Source organism: Homo sapiens, chromosome 15 (assembly GCF_000001405.40).
Source record: "Homo sapiens chromosome 15, GRCh38.p14 Primary Assembly".
NCBI lineage: Eukaryota > Metazoa > Chordata > Mammalia > Primates > Hominidae > Homo > Homo sapiens.
The window spans coordinates 28,453,106-28,475,043 of NC_000015.10; the positions used below are offsets into that span (position 1 = coordinate 28,453,106).

The following is a 21,938-nucleotide window of genomic DNA, read 5'->3' on the forward strand; positions in this document are numbered from 1 at the left end:
GGGCAAGGTGGCGGGCACCTGTAGTCCTAGCAACTGAGGAGGCTGAGGTAGGAGGATCACCTGGGCCTGGGAGGTTGAGGTTGTGGTGAGCCATGATTATGCCACTGCATTCCAGCAGTGGGTGACATAGTGAGATCTTGTATCAATAATAATAAGATAAAATAGAAAATAAAAATATCATTAACTGACATTTTAAAAAGTATATTTCCCAATGGATAAATATACTTTGTGGATTAACAAGAGAAAAATTTCAAGATACTGTAAATTTAAAACAAATCTTTATGTGTAATACCATCGTAATGTCTTTGACCAGGAGCAATCTATCATGTGAGATAAAAAATATTAAATATGCATTTATTGAATAAATGAATGAAAATCATGATTACCTTGATCACTATATTTAAAATTTAAATGAAGCAGGAAAGTAAATCTTCCTAATTATCATATACTTAACATAACTGTTTAAAATCACTCTAATAACAAGTAATATGTTAATTTTGAATTATAATTTTAAAATGCCTGTATTGTTTCATTCACTCATCCTTCCATTAGTTCAGTGAACAAATATTGATTACTTACCCACTATGTGCCAGGTATCATCATAGATTCAGGGAGTACAAAAATGGTTAAACGAAGGGATCAGCTGGAGTGACCGTTTTCTAGAAACAATGCCTATTTCAGTTATGAACTAGTCTGTTTTGAAGAAAGTGGTGAGGGAAAGCTGAAAATCCTATTTTCACTTTATTCAACAAATCTTATTGAGGTCTTATTATGAATCAGGGGCTCTCCTAGGTATGGGCATACAAAATTGATTAAGACTGTGCTTGCTTGCAGAAAACAAACAAAAAAGCATCTCTATAATAAAAAGGAAAAAGAGGAAATTCCCTTTGTAGGTTTCATAGTTTATAGTGATACTGCTGATGTTGTCTCAGAGAATTAGTCACAATTATAGGAACTCAGAAGGCATTCCGTTGAGATGAAATAGAGACTAAAGTAGCAGAGATTACTTAGTGAAATAACAATTCGAACATAGTTATAATTCATTTTAGAAGATATTATGGCTCACACATAGTAGATGTGATGACTGAATAACAGGAATGTGGAACGATGGCACCTTGGTAGCCATTACCCATTGCCAACATGATTCTGCATTAAAAAATCTGTGCAAAACGGCCGGGCACGGTGGCTCACGCCTGTAATCCTAGCACTTTGGGAGGCCGAGGAGGGCGGATCACGAGGTCGGGAGATGGAGACCATCCTGGCTAACACGGTGAAACCCCGTAACTACTAAAAATACAAAAAATTAGCTGGGCATGGTGGCACGCGCCTGTAGTCCCAGCTACTCGGGAGGCTGAGGCAGGAGAATCGCTTGAACCTGGGAGGTGGAGGTTGCAGTAAGCTGAGATCGCGCCACTGCACTCCAGCCTGGGCAACAGAGTGAGACTCCATTTCAAAAAAAAAAAAAAAAAAAGAACACAACTTTGGAGTATATTAATAAACATTGTGTTTTTTAAAAAAAAAATTTTAATCTTTAATTTCCGTTTTCACATATTTCTTCTTGCTTCCAAAAGGAAAGGAGTGGGTAGCTCTGTTGTACACCGTCCACGGCCCCTGGATCCGGGCGGGGTCCCCCGGGCCACCTGGGGGTCCACATGCAGCCCCCGGGAGGCCGGTGCGGGGTGAGGTCCGGGGGCCGCCTTATTGCTGAAGTCCGGCCGGTTGGGGCCCCGGCGGCCGCTAGGCGCTCTGGCTGCGCAGCTCCTGGGAGATGAAGCGGCGCAGGCGCTCCAGGTACTGGCTGTAGAGCTGGATGTCTTTGTGCCCGGCGCCCTCCACCCACAGCGGCTCCACGGCCTTGGGGCAGCGCTCCTAGAGCGCCAGCCCCTGCGAGAAGTCGATCACCTCGTCTTTCGTGCCGTGGATAATGAGCACGGGCGACGTGATCTTGGACACCTTCTGGATTCTGCGGGAGGGGCGTGGGGCGGGTGAGACCTCTCCGGGCCCGGGCCCCGCCCCGCCCCAGTCCCCGACCCAGTCCCCGTCCCCGCCCCTGTCCCTGCCCCAGCCTGCTCACTTGGGGAAGGCGTCGAAGCAGTAGGTCGTCTTGGTGTCGGGAAGGCGACGCTCAGGTCCAAGGTGAGCGGCGAGTGCAGCACCACCGCGGCGGACTCGTAGCGCGAGGCCAGGTCCACGGTGGGCACCGTGCCGATGCTCTGCCGGTACAGGATGATGCTGTCCGGGCTGATGCGGTACCTGGCGGCACCGGAGCAGGGTCAGCCGCGGCCTCCGACTCGCGCGCACCCCTCCCGCCAGCGGGCGTCCCCGGGCCCAGCTCCAGATGCGACTCTCCAGTCTCCCGGCTCAGCCTAGTCAGTGGGTCAGGCCCAGGCTCCACAGCAGTCCCAAGGGCCACCCCCAGTCCCCCAAGACCGCAGCGGTGGGCGGAGCCGGCGGCCTGGTCCTGTTCCCTGGCGCTATGGTTCACTGGCGTTTCCTAGCCAGGATCTGCTGGATCCTGGCTAGGGAGTCCCCCTCGGGCTAGGGTAGGGGAAGCCCTGGCGCCTCTCCTTCTCCTGGTCATCCCTGGGCGCACACTGGGAACTGTGTGCCCCCCCACATCCTGAATGCTTCATGCCTTCCTGCCCAGGTTAGAAAGCCGTTCCTGGTGCACTGGCCGGAACAGGGTACACTCTTCCTCCCTGCAGCCCTTGCCCACCCCCTTGGCCATGAGGAATTCAGGCAGCTGTGTCCCCACATGTCTCCACCCAATTTTGGACTCTCGGAGTCCCATGCTCAATGAGGTGCCAGCCCAACCCAGGTCAACATCGAGGGTGGCGGCTGCGGGGGCAGCACCTCCTCCCACCAGCGCCTTCCCTTGGGAGTGGACAAGTCCTCGGCCACCTCAGCACCACCAGCTCCCACCCAGGGCCACCCCCACCGCCAGGTCACTGGTGTGCGGCCCCTGGCCCAGCTGGTCCAGCACCAGTACCAAGGCCTCCTCGTGCCCAGTCCCAACCACGCGGGACCCACCTGCCACCCTGTCGATGCCGCAACCCCAGAACTCTCCTCCCACACGCTCCAGGCTCTGATCCCAGGCAGATGCCCTCCTGCGAGGCAGGAGCATGGGCAGGTGTGCGTCCCATCTGCCTGGCATTCGGACTCCACCAGCAGGGCTGTACCCCTCCTTGGCCTGGAATCCCAGCCTCCTGGCAGCACTCCACAGCTCACTGTTCACCCATGCCCCAAAGGATGCTGCCTGGCTGGTGCCTGTGGCCCCAGCTCTGCCTCAGCCTCCTTGGCCTGCTCCCTGGCAGCCAAGGCCAGTAGTGTGCTGAGCCAGCCCAGCCCTGTCACCTGCTCCAGGCAGGACCCCCAGCTGCCACCTGGATGTCACCACTCAGACAATCAAACAAGACACATCCTCAGTGGAGGCCCTGAGCGCGATCTGGCCTCCCCCTCATGGCTCTGGGCCGAGGTTCCTGCAGGACAAAGCAGCAGCAGGACAGATGGCCGAGCAGACAGAGCTCAGAGCTGGCCATGGCGGGTGTGACTCTGCCAGTGCCCTGGGCAGTAGAGACAGGAGGGGGCCGAGGAAGCTGCATGAAGTGGTGCTTGGTTTCTGCGCCCACACTGCCAGGAGGCCCCCAGAGCCAGGGTGGTGCCAGGGGACCCAGCTCCCAGGCCCACAGAAGGGACTGCCTGGGATATCGCCAAGGCATCGAGGACCCCACCTCCCCAGGGCCTCTGACTTCTCAGAGCTGCGCCTGGCCCCTGCAGGAGCGGGGCAGACCAGTGGGGGGCAGGGCCAGGACGAGACAGCCCCAGCGGGTGGCAAGCAGGAAAGGCCTCCAGAGGCCCACGCGGGTCTTCTGATCCAGAGCAGCACTGGCCCGGGCGGTGGGCGGTGCTCAAACACCAGTGAAGGGCCCAGGAAAGCGCAGGGCTGGGGAGCTGGATGTTTAGGAGGGCTGGATCTGGAATGGAGGCTGGCCCAGACCTCAGGTGTGTGCTGGGGGTCTGCACCTGACCCAGCAGGCCCTGCCCCGGGATGGCCGAGCTCCACAGCCACAGGGCCTCATGGGCCAGGCCTCGGGACCTCGATGCAGCAGCCTCGCCTCACCTGGCCCCAAGTGCTGCCTCGGCCATTGGGCTCCCAGCCACACGTGCACAGACCCCCCCCAGACACCACCCACCCCCTCCCGCCGGGTGGCGTCCACGCCCCTGTGACAAGCTCAGCCCCTTCCTGTCCTCAGGCCAGGGGATCCCAGAGAGCCTGGCTCCACAGGCCAGGGTGTGGGGGGACCTGGCCACACCTCAGCCATGTGGAGGCGGCACCCGCACGCCTGAGCTCACCTTTCCGGCTCTCTGGCCGCATGCGTCCACTGTGGCTCCTCTCCTGCAGGGCCGCCCACCTTCCTCCCAGGGAAGCCCGCCCTTCCCCCCGGCCCCCGGCCTGGTCCCCTCTCCGGTGTGCCCAGGCTGAGCTGCCCCCGGGGTCGCCCTCACCTGGTGCGCAGGGCCTGCCGGGCGGCGTCGATGTCGGCGTAGAGGTTCGTCTCGGAGGGCCTGCCCGAGCTGGCACCGTAGCCGGAGTAGTCGTAGGAGAAGATGTTGCAGTGGAGGCGGGAACACAGGCCAATGTAGAAGCTGCTCATCTGGCCCAGGTCCACGCGTTGCCTTCCTTGTTCATGCACCGCTGGTCAGACGCAATTCAGCTGATGTAGGCTGGGCTTGGCTAGCATTGGCTTGAAGCTGCAGCTGGTGTCCAGATCTGTTCCATGTATTTGTGATCCTCCTCAGCCCTCCCGGGTACTTGAAGCATGTTATTGTTGTGGCCAAAGTCAGGAGTGCAACCTGCCTGTGCAAAAACATGCCAGGCTTCTGTTGCCTTAAATCCTCTAAGATACCCCTTTGGCTTAAGCAGAGTCACACAGCAAGGATCAAAGTCAAGGAGTGGGGAATTATATCTGTCCCTTAGAGATGGAGATAGGAGAGAGTGTGAACAAATGCAGGAAAATGATCTCATCTACCAGAGTGTCCTTAAAGATTTTAACATAATAAATTCAGTATTGTTTTTGTTTGTTTGAATGAAGCTTTGCATGGACACAGTACAGTACAAAAGTACTATTTGAACTCTTTCTCCACATTCATAAAATTGCTACATAGTTTCTACCATGATTATATTTTTATGATCCATTTTTGTGTACAGATCTGAAAACTTTATACTAGAATTTATTAGCTGAGGAAAGGAACATGCACTGACATCATCATACACAAATATTTCTCAACATTTTAATGCTTGTGGTATTGTTAATGTTTCTGTGGAAAATTACTTAAAATCATAGAAGTGATTTCTAAGTCAGTTATTGATTTATTCTGATGAATTATAAAAATCAGACTAAATTAGTAATAGAGAAATTACACTTGAAATACTAGTCTGAGCTACAAATGAGATGGATTTTTGTGCTCATCATTTGTACTCTAGTTATGTTTGTTGAGATTGGGTTATGAAAACATCATTATAACATTATCAGCAGAAAAGCCTGTTGTGCTATAATTAAATCATCTAAACAATCATTTTTGTGGTCTTAATATCCTGGATTTCTCAATTGATTGTAGTAGATAAGAGTTCTCTTTAAATACTACTTATTATCGGTAGCTTGCTTTTCTGTGAAATCTAGAAAATTTAGAATTCTGCATTAACATTTAATAAAATACCTGCTATCCTAATATTGATGCATTATATTTATCTATACAACATGCAACAGGAGAGAAATATCAGATGAATTAGAATATTTGCAGCCTATGGCAATTATCTGTAGCCACATTTTTTTTTGTCTTCAGAAAAATGTAGATGATTTTGGAAATGGATTAGTTCTAGTCTCAATCTAGGAAGAATTACTTATGGAAGTTTTGTGTACAGGATACTGATGTTTTCAAATATAACGCATTATTATTTTAGTTTAGTTTCTTTTGCCACATACTTAGAAATTGTTCAAGTGAACAGGCTATTAAAACGAATGGTATAGATAAATGGTATAGATAGGCATTGTAAACATCCCACTTTTCCCAAGCCATGAATTTTAACACTGGATTAAGGAGATGAAAATGGAGCCATTGGGAATGTGGATTCTTTGCTAATAATTATTTTTCTTCTTTAAAAAGATTCTTCAAAAGGCAAGAACATGGAAGTATTTCAGGAGATATTCTTGAGGTATCTAAAATACATACTCTTCCTATCAAAATCAATAAATAGATGGATGTAAGTAAGATAAAGTCAGGGCAACTGATTTTGCATGTGAGTGTACACACAGACACATATCCAGGTTTTCTCCATCTGTTCTCAGTTGCTGAATTATTAGACTCAGCTGACCGCTTGACTGTGTTTAATCTGATAAACAGACTCTTAACAAGAAGAACAATGTTTTAAAAACTGGACTGTTCCTCCTACTTCTCAGCATGCATCAGCCACTCTCTTTCCCCATCCTATCTCCTGCCAAATTGGTCTCTACTTATCTGTTCCACTTGGAGACACTATTTGATGTTGTTGTAAATGACTTAAATGAATATTCACTCTACCTGCTTTCATATTAATTCAGTTTTCATAGGATGGTCTCTGTGGGATCAAGCAAAAGGACTTAGTGGAATATCTCTTATGACTCCATAAAGTAAAGAATGTGGTGAGTTTAGCAGAGTGCACCTTCCTTTACTAAATGTGAATGATGTGTCAGTATAGGGGGCCAGAGTGAAAAGTCCTAACATATGCTTGTTTGGGCAGCCAACAATTGGTCACATTGCACATTTCATGTTACAAAGGAGCCTCATGGTAGTATAAATGAGGGTCAGGAAAAGACACTTAACTGTGCTCTGGGCTTTAAAATGGAGCCAGGGCAAGAATTCTGGAATTTGACAATGTCAGGAAGGAAACCTCTGTAAGCAGGCACGCAGGGGACTCCAGAAATCTCTTCTTTGCCACTACAACTCTGGACTTTCAGAAATACACACCCCATTCTCCTGTATTAATACACACTTCATGTTCACAACATCAAAAACCAATTTTAAAATAGTAAACCTAAGGTAGATGGAAAGGCATTATAGCCTCAGCATGCCCGAGATGTGAGGAGCAAATCAGAAAGATGTGAGTGTGACGAGAAAGGGACATCGTGCTAACCAATCATTTAAAATTTTTACTCCAAAGAAATGGCAATATTTCACAGGTTTTTTCTCATCACCAATCTCACAAATATACATGTTTTTTGAAAATTTTCCTCTCAATTCTTCTCCTTGACAGTGAAGTCCAGAAGAGGTTGGTTTAGATCTAACTCTTTTCAGCCTCAATACTCCATAATCACTTTGGCTTTTTTGATTATGACTGGACGGCATGTACTATTATTTTAATATTAAATATTTAGGAAATAATTTTAAATGTTATCCTTAAATAACTATGGGCTTTATTCATTTACTGTATGTATTTCTCAAACATTCATAAGAACTTAAGGATTTTAATTCAAATGGTCCCTAAAGTAGAAAATGCACTCACAGATTCTGCATATGTCTTTTAAGAAACAGAAACGTGCCATTTGTTATTAAATTGAGTAGACTTTGTATCCTTTAGAATTTGGGCAGAGTTTTCTTGCTATATTGTAGAGAACCTATCAACCATATCTTAATTTTCTTCTTTTTGAGGTCTTCAAAATTAACATTGGCATTGGTCCACTAATTCCTTGTTTTCTATTTTTGGATGAGTGTGCATAGATTACCTCCATCTTAATTTTCAACATAAACTTTTAGCAGACTCTTTCACCTTTCATTGCCATGTAAGCAGATGTGATTTTTATTCTTTTTTCCTTTTCATTGAACAGTTACTTCATTTGAAATTTTTCACTTGATTTAATTTAACTTTATTTTTTGGTGGTAGATACATCTGTTGCCACCTGTGTCTGGTTGGCATTTTAATGTGTTGCCTCGAAGCTGTAACCACAATAGTGGCACATTTTCCTGCTGTTCCTTTATTCTTTGTTCCATGTGTATCTATTTTCAATAAATTGCATTGGTATATTATCATAGATTTTCTTTTTGTCTCTCAGATTTTCTGTTGTAATTATTTTTATTTATGCCTTTGGAAATATTTTATGATTGTTACATAAAACAGCAGAGCTCTTTCAGAAAGTTTTCATGGTTTTCCAAATGTACATTCATATAGATTATTTAGTAGTTATTACACAATGATCTTTGGAGCAATAAATGCTGTTACGTAAGAACAATTCCCAAATGTAATTTGAGTTATAAGCTAGCCTTTGATGGCCTAGAATTGATGTACCTTTATAATTCTAATCTGCATGCAAATTTAAGAAGACCAAGGATTGAGGATTGGGTGCATAATTTTCAGGGCCCAGTAAAAAGTGAAAATGTAGAACCCTTTGATAAAAACTTACAAAGAATTTCAAGATGACCATAATAGGCCATGCACAAGGCCTTTGTAGATGGGTAGAGTGACCATGAAGCCATGGGCATTGTTTGGTTTTGTTTAATCTTACTGTTTGGTTGTAAAGCAGATTTTTAAATCAAGAGAAAAAAGAACACCAAAGAAGATCTCTGTCAAAATGTTTGAAGCATTATAGAAGATTAGATCCATATAAATGAAAGGGATAAAGAAAAAGCACATATCCAACCTCAAATATAAAGCATGGAATTCTCATATGAACTCCATTATAGCACTTGATATTTCAGCTCTATTTTCATTTTTGAACAACTCTAGATATATCTATATATTTTAGTCTAAAATTTAATTTTTATAAATTGTAAGTACTTCCCCAAATTCTACCTTAGATAAACAATTCAGAGATAACTCTGTTTCCTATTCTATTAGGTGGAACCATATGAAATTGTCAGTATTCAGCCTTTTTTGTCCTACAAAAAAATGACAGTTTTGTGTTTCCACCTAACACATGGCAGCCCAATAAATATGTGAAGGTCAGGACCACAGAGCTACCACACTAAACAATACTAAATGCATACACATACCCTTTCCAAAACCCGGCAGGTCTTCTTTTCCCCAAGTGAAACATTCTTTGACTCTTCACCCATTATTCATGTGAGAAATTTTCCAGGCACTTCAACATGTCAGCTCAGTGACTGTAACAATTAGGTTTATTAATTCTCCTCTCACAATTTGACATTCTTTATTGAAAAGCATGATTTAAATGTTGACTAATAGTCTGCATAGTGAAACATTTTTACTAGTTCCAATGACCTAAAACAGTGTAAACCATGATTCAGAAATTTATTTTCTTAAAAACTTCTAAACAAAATGTCTGCTAGGATAAACCGGTGCAATTTCTATGTGAAACCTAAGAATTTCAATGACACATTTTCATCCTTATTGCCATCAAATAATCCCTTTAATAGTGCCCCATCTTTCTTACTCCTTCATATGATTTTCTATATTATTATTTTCCATCACTCATTCTGTTAAAACTATAATAGTTTCTTCAGAGAAATGACAGATTTTCCCACTTCAGAGGCATTTCTGCATTGAGCTCTCATAAACCTCTCTAACATGGTGGGCAATAGACTCAATAACATTTGTGTATAAACTCAGTTGTGAATTACAAAAGGCTCATCTATAACGTCAAAAAGCAACTCGGTAAAAACAATTCTATTGAAGATAGTATGATCTAAATATATAATTTTAGGATGGCTTCAACTGAGACAAAAATAGCATCGATACAGTGTGGAGCAATGAATTTCTAAAATTTTTATCAGCTTAACATTTTTCATCAGCACAATTTATACAGAAGCCCAACATGAGACATTCTTGTTCACATGGAATTTCTCTGCCCGCTGGAGCCCTGTAGAAATCCCACTGTGTTGGTAAACAGCAGTAGCAACAAGAAGATACTAAACTGGAATTCTCAGTGGCTCAACCAAACCAAAGTTTGTTGGTTGCTCCCATAAAGTTCAATGTCAGTCAGAATAAACTCCTCTAGCCTTAACCTATGACACACATGGCACATAACCTTCCAAGTACTGGCAGTGGAAAAGGAGAGAACTTGGGAATGAGGCAGGGGCTTCATGGTGAACATGGTGAAACCTCATCTTTACCAAAAATACAAAAATTAGGTGGGTGTGGTGGAGTGTGCCTGTAGTCCCAGCTACTCAGGAGGCTGAGGTAGAAGGATCGCTTGGGCCTGGGAGGTCAAGGCTGCAGTGAACCAAGGTGGTGCCACTGCACTCCAGCCTGGGTAACAGAGTGAGATCCTGTCTCAAAAAAAAAAAAAATTGTGAAGGTGAAATTTAAATACCTTTGTGCATAGCTATCAGTTATTCTTTGTTTTAATATTTAGTTTATTGTGAAATATAACACGTATAGAAACATACATAAAACAACACACAGGGCCAGGCCCGGTGGGTCACGCCTTGTAATCCCAGCACTTTGGGAGGCCGAGGCGGGCGGATTACTTGAGGTGAGGAGTTTGAGACCAGCCTGGCCAACATGGTGAAACCCCATCTCTACTAAAAATACAAAAATTAGTCGGATGTGGTGGTGCATGCCTGTAATCCCAGCTACTTGGGAGGCTGAGGCAGGAGAATCGCTTGAACCAGGGAGGCAGAAGTTACAGTGAACCAAGATCGCGCTACTGCACTCCAGCCTGGGCAACGGAGTCAGACTGTGTCTAAAAAAAAAAAAAAAAAAAAATAGGCCGGGTGTGGTGGCTCACGCCTGTAATCCCAGAACTTTGGGAGGCCGAGGCGGGCAGATCACTTGAGGTCAGGAGTTCGAGACCAGCCTGACCAACATGGAGAAACCCCATCCCTACTAAAAGTACAAAATTAGCTGGGCGTGGTGTTGCATGACTGAAATCCCAGCCACTTTGGAGGCTGAGGCAGGGGAATCACTTGAATCTGGGAGGTAGAGGTTGTTTTGAGCTGAGATCACGCCATTGTACTCCAGCCTGGGCAACAAGAGCAAAACTCCGTCTCAAACAAACAAAAAACAAAACAAAAACAAAAAACACAGTGTAACATGTTATTATGAAGTCACTGCTCAGGGACCAACTTGGCCGCTCCTGTGCCTCTAGAGGGAAGCTCCTTCCCACTGTTCTTTAGAGTTTTATATGTTAAGTACAGGAGTCAACAAACTAGGCCTATGCACCACATCTGGCACCCAGCCTTTATTTATTTTTTGAGATGGCGTCTCACTCTGTCATCCTGGCTGCAGTGTGGTAGCACAATCTCGGCTCACTGCAACCTCCGCCTCCCAGATTCAGGCAATTCTCCTGCCTCAGCCTCCTGAGTAGCTGGGATTACAGGTGTGTGCCACCACACCCGGCTAATTTTTATATTTTTGGTAGAGACGGGGTTTCAACATGTTGGTCAGTCTGGTCTCGAACTCCTGACGTCAGGTGATCCGCCTGCGTTGCCCTCTCAAAGTGCTGGGATTACAGGCATGAGGCATGATGCCTGACCCAGCCTTTTCTAAAATGAAGGTTTCGGCTGGCGCGGTGGCTCATGTCTGTAATCCCAGCACTTTGGGAGGCCAAGGCAGGTGGATCACCTGAGGTCAGTAGTTGGGGACCACCCTGGCCAACATGGTGAAACCCCGTCTGTATCAAAATACAAAAATTAGCTGGGCGTGATGGCAGGCACATGTAATGCCAGCTACTCGGGAGCCTGAGGCACGACAATCACTTGAACCCGGGAGGCGGAGGTTGCAGTGAGCCAAGATCACACGATTGCACTCCAGCCTGGGCAACGAGCGAAACTCCATCTCAAAATACAATAATAAAAAAAAGGATGTCCTTTTTTGTCTCTCAACCCCGTTTTTTATTTTTTTTTATTTTCAGACAGGGTCTCACTCTGTTGCCCAGGGTGGAGTGCAGGGGCCCGATCTTAGCTCACTGCGGCCTCAACTTCCCCAGCTCACAGGATCCTCCCACCTCAGCCTCCCAAACAGCTGGGACCACAGGTGGGTACCAGAAGTTATTAGGATAGAGTGAATTTAGCAGCTATCTTGCTTTGTTACATATGTCTTATAAATTAAAATTATATTTTCATAATGAAAAGCCAACAAGCTCATTTGCTTTTATAAGACTAAGAGAAAAGGAGTATTAAATGAAGTTAAATTAGATTTTACCATCTTTTTAATAAGTTTCAGGCCTGGTTTGATAATATATTCCCAGATACATAATTTAAAAATGATCTTTTGGCTGGGCGCGGTGGCTCACGCCTGTAATCCCAGCACTTTGGGAGGCCGAGGCGGGCGGATCACGAGGTCAGGAGATCCAGACCATCCTGGCTAACACGGGGAAACCCCATCTCTACTAAAAATACAAAAAATGAGCTGGGCGTGGTGGCGGGCGCCTGTAGTCCCAGCTACTCAGGAGGCTGGGGCAGGAGGATGGCGTGAACCCGGGAGGCGGAGCTTGCGGTGAGCCGAGATCCGGCCACTGCCCTCCAGCCTGGGTGACAGAGAAAGACTCCGTCTCAAAATAAATAAATAAATAAATAAATAAATAAGAATTTAGTGAGAGCTGGTTATAGTTTGGAACCTCATTTGTGAAATAAACCATATTTCAAAATATTTTAAGCAGAAATACATTTAAGTTGTAGCCTACAAATTACCAGAATTTGTCCTAGTCACCTAAATAAAAAATGTAAAAGTTCTACATTTTAACGTCCTTTCAACATTTTATGAACAGAAAACCCGGCAGGTAAACAGCTCAAGTCTGAATGGGAAATGATAACATATAAGATCAGCAGCATCCGCGCAAATAAAAAGTCAAATTTTTATCCAACACAAAACAATTACATACGCTTTAATCAAAAAGAAATTAGCAACGGCCAACCCCAATCCCATTACTTTCAAAAAAAGTCCTCTAACTTTCCTTTCCAGTTGAATGTACACTGATTGAAATGGTTGTTTTATGCGGACAATTGATTTTTTTAAATGAAATGTCTAATAGGGAAGTCAGTACATTACACTACCCATTCCAGAAAGCAGCCTTCCATTGAATTTACTCAAACTAATTGCTGAATTAGATGACCATGGAAAGTTACTGAGGGCATATCCAGCACTTTCTTCTGAACCAAAACTAAATCTGTTTTGGTCACTACTGCATTGCTATTCAAAATCAAGGACTGTTCATCTCTCTGGAATATTAGTATCGTAAGCCTGGGGAGGTGACAATATCATGTAATGGAGTTGTGGGGAAAGGAGTCAGAGTGTTGTGGCAACTCCCGGACCAAGGGAAAGAGTCTGTAGAAGTTCATAGAATCAGCTGACATGCTACGGTCAAAGAATTTGCAATTAGCAATTGACCAATCAATTTTGATTAACTCATTCTGTATGACTATCATAGGCTATTAAAAATAGGAAAGCGTGTTTCTAAAATGGGTTTCATAACAAGTGATTTAATGATAAAAGCTTGGACAGTTTTCAGAATTCAAAAATTCCGAGATACTAATATCTTTAAAAACTCCTGTCATTGTGTGTGTGTGTGTGTGTGTAAACACTACCTGTGTAATCATCTATTGAGATTTAAATTAGGACATTTTCTCAGTGTATCCCAGTTCTAAAGTTACTATTTATTATATTGCTATCCTAGGAACAGAGTGAGAAAAGGCAAAGAGGTAATTTAACACAGTCTTTTTCTGCTAAAATCAGAGTGTCTCTCATCTCTGCCTGAATCCAATACATTGTGATTACTGAAATACATATTATAGAATATCTACTTATTTTGTGGATTTAGGCAACGATTATGATTGTTGCTTTTCTCACATCTAAAAATCAAATTTATATTATACATGAAGACATTTTCTAAAGAACTTTTGGTCTGTATAAAAATGAATACTTAATAGAAACGTAATATTATTTTATGTTATTTGAATTGTTAAGTTTAAGAAAATAAAATGTTTTTAAATCTATTACTTTTAACAACACTGTAACATTTATTGGTTTTGGAATAAAATAGATCCAGAAAATTGCTGTGATATTACTTTTTATGTTTCTTATTGAAAGTAGGTCAATTAATTTCTAAGCAATGGGGCATTATAATTGTCAACTAACAGTGCTCAAGCAGTTAGGATTTTAACTGCTGACACTATTTTCTTTGAAAAATGATAGATGTCATTTAGTGTTTAAAGATAAATTGCTGCATAACAGTGACTTTTTTGCTGATAACTTTGCCATAAGCAAACATAACATGACCAAGAAGTTTCAAAGTGAGTTTTCTAGGCGAGCAAATCTAAATTAAAAAGGCTCTCATATTTCCTCAATCAGATATACTAACATCAACCAAGTGTTGTTTTCAATCTATAATATGAAAGGGCAATTGAGTCTGACTCAAACATCTGAAAAAGTTAATGTTAACACTTAGGAATATGTCTCCCTGTAGGAAAATTTTCACTGGCCGTGGGCTATACCACATTTATCACAGGTGATTTTCAAGGGGACAAATATTGCCCATTTCAGAAACAGGTTTGGAATGCAGGAAACTGCCAGAAAGTAACTGTGAGAGTTTGCACCATGGCTGACCTGGAGGAAGATGCCAGAGTCACAGATGGAAAAGGGAGGTGCATGACTCCCCTCTGTTGCCAAGGTTCCCATTCTCAATTCAGAAGGGTTTGCGGAGGGGGTGAAGGAACATTGAAGTTTCTGAGATATTCCTTAAGGACCAAGCTATAATTCACAGCTATCTATTTACATCAGATCTCAGCTTTTTTTTTTTTTTTTTTTTTTTTTTTTTGAGGAGGGTGCAGGAGGAGATGTGCGCAGAACATATATATACGGCTTGCCCTAAAGGATGAAATAAAATTGTGTATGCTATGACCTCTCTAGGAAGCCTCTAAACTTTTCTTATAAATTGTCTTCTAACTAAAATATTTCTTTTGGCCGTCCTTGGAGTACTCCCAGGTGACACACAGCTCGGGCTAACATTTCTACAGGACTGCTACCTTGATCTCTAGAGAGTCCAATGATGTTCCATACCAATATGTCTCAGCGTCACTGCCGAGCTTCCACCCACACCCTTAACACACAGAGAAAGCTGACACTTTCTGTTAGCTATAATTTTCCTTGAGAAAAACGTGGCAATATGTAGCAAAATACAATTATTAGTTTCAATATGTAGAACGTATTACAAGAAAAAAAAGATGCCAAAAACATCTTATGTCTACTGCTATTCCTATTAGTCTTTATTATCATGAAAAACTGGTCGCATCCTAAATATCCAACTTTCGGTGACTGGGTGAAGGAAAACTGTAATTTTTCCATATGATAGAATAGTATGCCAGCACTAACAACCAGATAGCAGACTATTTAATGTCATGGTAAAGTATTTGTTTTGTGTGGTCAGGTGAGCAGTTCAGATCATAAAATCAAATGTACCCTATGATCTTATTTTTTGAAGTAAAGTACTGATGTATTTATATGTATAATTAAGTATAGAGAAAAGCCTAGATGGCTTCTCTTATAAGTCTTTTCATTGTTTTATAAATGGTATCAATATTTATTTTTCACTTTTTCCATCAGATTTCCTAGAATAATAAAATTCAATTCCCTCTGATGAGCATTCATTATTCTTTTTTTTTTTTTTTTTTTTGAGACGGAGTCTCACTCTGTCTGCTAGAGCTAGAGTGCAGTGGCCTGATCTCAGCTCACTGCAGCCTCCGCCTCCTGGGTCATTATTCTTACAGTAAGAAAAAATGAATGTTACTAAGTATCTTCTCTGTCCTAGATCAACTAGGTATATACAAGGTGCCAAATACATTTAATAAAATGTTTTATTCATTCATAGCTTTTTGCAGTACAATTTTTTTTGTATGATTCCCTTGTCCTATCATCTCCACCAATAGTTTTGGTGTGAATTTATACTCTAAAGGAAAGGTGACAACCTTATACAATCTCAGGGCTTAAATACTATCCACGTGCTGATGCTTACAAACATACACCTCCAGTTGTGTGGTCTCCCTGAGTTCTGCACATCCCTCTTGGGCATCTAACAAGCATCTCACAGTTAACAAAACCACTGATTTCTAATCAATCCCAGGGACCCTCCGCCAGGCCTGCTCCTCTCTCAGAATTCCTTTTCTCACTTAGTGACACTATCATCCCACCAAACCTCGCTATCATCTTTCTTCCGTCTCCCAAATTTCCAATCCATTAACAAATCCCAAAAACCCCGCTTCCAATATTTGTCTAAATCTATGCACTTCTCAGCTTATCCACTCTTATTATTCTAGCTCCAATTATGTGGCCTTCTGTCTGTGTTACTTTCTTTTTTCCATTCTTGTACGCAGGGTCCAGTTTTCATAGTGAAGTCCTCATAAAACATGTATTAAATTGTATCAGCTTCTGCTTACAGTTATTTATTTATTTATTAAATTTGTGATGTATTTTTATTTATTTATTTATTTTGAGAAGGAGTCTTGCTCTGTCATCCAGGCTGGAGTGCAGTGGCGCGATCTTGGCTCACTGCAGGCTCCGACTCCTGGGTTCAAGCGATTCTCCTTCCTCAGCCTCCTCAGTAGCTGGCATTACAGGCACGCTCCACCGTGCTCAGCTAATTTTTGTATTTTTAGAAGAGATGGGGTTTCACCATGTTGGCCAGGCTGGTCTCAAACTCCTGACTTAAGGTGATCCACCCACCTCAGCCTCCCAAAGTGCTGAGATTACAGGCATGAGCCACTGCGCGCAGCTAGTTTCTGCTTACAGTTTTAAAATGACTTCTTAGTCTATTTAGGAGAAAATATAAACTCTTTACCAGAGCCTACTGGACTCCCCAAAACATGATGTATGTTTATCTCCTCCCTTTAACTCACTCTGTTTTAGCCACCTGGCCTTCTGTTCTCTGAATAAAATAAACTTATTCCTGCCACAGGGCCTTTACACCTACTTTGCCTTCTGCCCCAGACACAGTTCTCACAGGTTTTCCCATGACTCCTTTCTTCTCCTTATTCAGCATCAACCCAAACATCTGCCCCTGAGTGGCCTTCACCAGCACACTCTTCTTAAATATCTTTCCTTACCTCACCTTGTTTGGTTTTGTGCATAACATGTGTCAGCTACAATACTGGTTTCATTGGTTTGTTTATTTACTTTTTTCTTACAATGGAAAGCCCATGAGAGCAGGGTTGTGTCTGCTTTATTCACAACTTTAACCTCAGTGCCTGTACAGAACCAGGACCGTACTAGAAACTCAGTGAGCATTTGTTGAGTATCTTGAACGAATTAATTATTAAAACATTAAAAAGTGACATTTTCCAAGTAAAAATCTTTATCTACTTCCTTAGTGACTCTAATTGCAGACAATGCAAGGTAGAAATGAGGTTCAGATCAATGGCAGGCCGAGAAAGGCATTTTTGGGTGAGTCCATGCAGGCAATGTTTGCTATTGTGGCTGATTTACTTCCATATACTTTAACACAGGTATGTCCCTATTGTGAGACACGGCATTTTTCATAGTATAAAGGTGGAAAGCGAACTTCATGTTATAATAAAAAATAAAGTAAATTTTATACAAACACTAAGAAGTGATCATCTAAATCTACAGTTTAGAATCTGAAACCTATTCCTATGTTGACATCTTCCATGGCCCTACTCCTTAATTAATAAATTCTGACTTACAGAAGGCTATTTTCTGAATCCTTTCATAGCTGACATTGTGGTGGGTGCTGTTAGCCATCCCTTGATACTGACAGCACAATGGCCATCCCTGCCAGGGCACGCGTACACCATCAGTAGTCAAAAGTTTGGCAAAGTAGGCCGGGCGCCGTGGCTCACGCCTGTAATCGGCACTTTGGGAGGCCGAGGCAGGTGGATCACCTGAGGTCGGGAGTTCGAGACCAGCCTGAGCAACATGGAGAAACCCTGTCTCTACTAAAAATACAAAAAAAATTAGCCGGGCTGTGGTGGCACGTGCCTGTAATCCCAGCTGCTCTGGAGGCTGAGGCAGGAGAATCTCTTGAATCCGGGAGGCGGAGGTTGCAGCGAGCCGAGATCGCGCCATTGCACTCCAGCCTGGGCAACAAGAGGGAAACTCTGTCTCAAAAAAAAAAAAAAAAAAAAAAAAAAAAAAAAAAAAAATTGGCAAAGTAAAACACTTCTCTTCATCTCCAGGAGAGCAGTTCATGAAAGAGCATATTCTTAGATATTAAAGGTAAATTTTCAGTGACACCTGTGCAAGATATGACTTTCTGCTGTCCTCTATAAAAATCTACATTTCTATCATATAAATCTAGCAGATCTTAAAATGATAGACCTCAAAGGTAGCACTGCATTTGATATTCTCTTGCAACCCCAGAATGAAACTTAAGCATGAATAATTGGAGATCTGCACACTCCTATAAAGAATAAAGAATGGGACTCAAGTTCACACAGAAGCTAAAAAAGAAAGGCAGGATGACTTCCCTCTGCCACCTTGAAAAGGCTTTGAAACCTACGAAACAAGAAATGGGGAGGGGGGTTGCTGAATGGGTAATAAATATATGAGCCCTCCTCCTAAGGGTTTTTATAATCCTTTCTATCTTGGGTATCTATGTGTTCCTCTGTGAATGTGTTTTCTTATAACTGCACTTCTCATGGAACAGCTCTATCCTTATTATCTGTAACAGGGTTTCTGTTCTGCTTTCATCATGTATATATCTTAGAAAAACAATCTGAACAAATGTCCAGTTAATATGTATATTTATGTATTTATAAATTATATGTATATGCTATTGCACTAATACATTACATATTTTATATACCTTACTACAACCAAAGAAATATAAAAGAATGAGATGGAATAAATATATATTTAAGTTCTAGTTTTTCTTCCTCCATCCTCTGTGGAATGCTTACCCCACTTAAGAAACCCCTAAGATTTCACTGTGTCCTCACAGTGAGATTGTACTCACTCCTCAATGAGAGAACATTAATATTAAAGCTCTTTTGGTTTTATTATCAATTATGCGGTCGAATTTTCAAATAATCTAGCTGTACATATTATACTACAGTGGACGATACTGTGAGGTACCAACTGGACCAGCTCAGCAGAGGCTGGAAGGTTTAACTCATCAGTAGTCATGATACCACTTTTCTCTTAGACTTTTCCAGTAGAATTTATTTTTGGTTTTGCCAGCCAGGGTGAGAGCTGTTTTCTATAGGTATCAATGGTAGAATAAGCATTGTTGCCTCACAGAAGGGAGAAGTCTATGGTATTGGACACCAACCCCCAAGTCCTTCTTACATATCCTCTCCTTGAGAGATAGGGACTCGTGAAAAATGGAAACCCAGGAATTGGCTCTGCATAAACTTAAGCTTTGTCTTTGCAGAACAATTATGAGAAGCCTACTACTGACTCTGGAATATGTTGTATGCAATAAAAACTCTGTACTATTTAGGTATTGTTTCTGATGCACGATACTAGAAATAAGCATCAACTAGCCATGCAAAGTTCTGCTTAGGAAAAATGAAAGTATATTCAAATATAAATTTTTATAAAATGACTATTAACTAAAAAAAAAAATAGCCTTTCTTTCCCCAAACATCAATAGATGCAGAATGCAGAGTAATATTTACAACATGCAACATCATGTTTGGTTCTAATTAATAGACTATTTCAATGAAATATTATTTTGATAAATATGTTCATGCTTCATTTGTCATGTATTAAAAACAGCAATACACACTCACTTGATGAAAAATATTATTGAAGATAAAACAGAAGTATTTCATAAACAACCATTAGGTAGATTATAAGATAACATATAAAAGGTGATATAGGAAATAAATATTAGAAGTACATATTATTCATCTATGACCTAATTTGTATTGAAATGCTGCAAAAACCTTCATAGCAACATTCAGAGAATTACCTGAAAGAAAACTCTGGCATCTTCTATGGTCTTCTATGTGTTTTCTTTAATGGTCACAGTGATTCCCACGTTCAAACTTATTCACTGAAGACAATGCATGTCCTGAGATTCTCATTATTGAAATGCTGAGGCTGAGGCTTGCTTTTCACATATACAGATTGTCCAACATTAAAATACCACTGCATATTGACTGCATACAAAAATCATTAAACTAAATATTCCCAAAAGTCCTGATACAAATAATGTGTTACAATATTTTAGGCAGGATTACCTGATAGGGTTAACAAATTTATCAAGTATAACAGAAAGTGACCACTTATTATTTATTATTGGCTATACCAAAAAATATAGGATCAGGACTTACCTGAATAACATGCTTCAGTTTATCAATAATCTGATTTATCACAGGATCAGTTCCTTTGACTTTGACTTCAGGATTTCCAGACTGGGCTTTGATTCCATTTCCAACCACATGCTGAGTATAACTAGCAAAGGGAAATGTGAAAGATATATGACTTAGTACCTGATCAGAGTATTATCTGCCACAGCTATCTGAACATAGTTGAGGTCAGAATTTCCTCCTTTAGAGAATACACCAATGTATTTTTTTCTTGGAACAGAAACTGGCACAGCTATAATGCTTTTGCAGGTAAAATGCTAAAATGCTTATTGTGCCATTAGATCATTCTAAAAATAATGTTATTCTCTCAATGGACCCAACCAAAAATTACTTGTTTTTTAATACTACTTAACAATATGCTACAAAGAGTTGACATATCTCACTTTGTTACCAGTTCTTGCTGAATTATACATATGTCTGTACCCCTATTGTCTGGGTGAGCTTATTTTACGCAGTCCCAATCTTATTTTTTAAATATCAGGCTACTATATATGTGTGTGTGTGTGTGTGTATATATATATAGAATATGTATAGAGAATATATATAGGATACACATATAGAATATATATAGACTATATAGAATATACATATAGACTATATAGGATATATATAGAATATACATAGACTATATAGGATATATATAGAATATACATAGACTATATAGGATATATATAGAATATACATAGACTATATAGGATATATATAGAATATACATAGACTATATAGGATATATATAGAATATACATAGACTATATAGGATATATATAGAATATACATAGACTATATAGGATATATATAGAATATACATAGACTATATAGGATATATATAGAATATACATAGACTATATAGGATATATATAGAATATATATAGACTATATAAGATATATAGAGTATATAGACTATATATAGGATATAGATAGAATATATATAGACTATATACAGGATATCGATAGAATATATATAGACTATATATAGGATATAGATAGAATATATATAGACTATATATAGGATATAGATAGACTATATATAGGATATAGATAGAATATAGATAGACTATATATAGAATATATGTAGAATATAGATATAGAATATAGATATAGAATATATATGGAATATAGATATAGGATATATATAGATAGAATATAGATATACACACACATATATATTTCCTAATTAGGTCCTTCAAGAAATAAGTGATTAAACTTTTTAATAATGATAGTATCAATTGGACATGATAACAATAATATTATTAATAAACTCTTTGATTTTTAAAATAAACTTGAACCCATTTCTTTTCATAGTCATAGAGGGGCTTAGAGATAAGAATTTCAGTATCCATTAGGGATTTGCAGTATACACCAGTAACAAATAGTAGAAAGAAAACAGTTATATCTATTTTGTTAATGTGTAATGATATTCTTTACTTTAGAAAATAAAATTATATATAGTATAACTATATATAATATATAATATATATTATATGTAAAATATATATAACTGTACAAGTCAATATCATAAATTATAACTGTACAAATTAAAATCATCAAATTTATAAGCAACGAAAATGTGCGAAGTATTTCCTAAGTAGAGGAAACAATCTGCTTTCGCCTAGGTTCACCTAAACAAAGATCTGGTAAATCATGTGGTAGGTAAAAAGGGTCATTTCACAGGTGGTGAAAGC

The 21,938-nt window shown here is 40.9% G+C and overlaps 1 pseudogene across 1 annotated transcript in view, besides 2 other annotated features; it reads right to left on the bottom strand.

Moving 5' to 3' along the window:
• Window positions 1-1,518: 1,518 nt before the first annotated feature.
• Window positions 1,519-21,938, bottom strand: part of LOC101059997 (alpha/beta hydrolase domain-containing protein 17A-like) — a 30,190-nt pseudogene continuing 9,770 nt past the window's right edge. The window contains exons 2-6 of the transcript XR_007064495.1: window positions 20,221-20,341; window positions 17,626-17,713; window positions 4,507-4,696; window positions 2,075-2,253; window positions 1,519-1,963 (exon numbers count right to left, since the gene is read on the bottom strand). The product of XR_007064495.1 is annotated as an alpha/beta hydrolase domain-containing protein 17A-like, transcript variant X1 (transcript). The remainder of the gene's footprint in view (window positions 1,964-2,074; window positions 2,254-4,506; window positions 4,697-17,625; window positions 17,714-20,220; window positions 20,342-21,938) is intronic.
• Window positions 3,082-3,680: an enhancer, noted in NCBI's record as "H3K27ac-H3K4me1 hESC enhancer chr15:28701333-28701931 (GRCh37/hg19 assembly coordinates)". NCBI's record gives its function as "activates a minimal SCP1, AML or CMV promoter by ChIP-STARR-seq in primed H9 embryonic stem cells {active_cell/tissue: H9 hESC(primed)}" and the evidence as "EXISTENCE:reporter gene assay evidence [ECO:0000049][PMID:30033119]".
• Window positions 3,681-4,278: an enhancer, noted in NCBI's record as "H3K27ac-H3K4me1 hESC enhancer chr15:28701932-28702529 (GRCh37/hg19 assembly coordinates)". NCBI's record gives its function as "activates a minimal SCP1, AML or CMV promoter by ChIP-STARR-seq in primed H9 embryonic stem cells {active_cell/tissue: H9 hESC(primed)}" and the evidence as "EXISTENCE:reporter gene assay evidence [ECO:0000049][PMID:30033119]".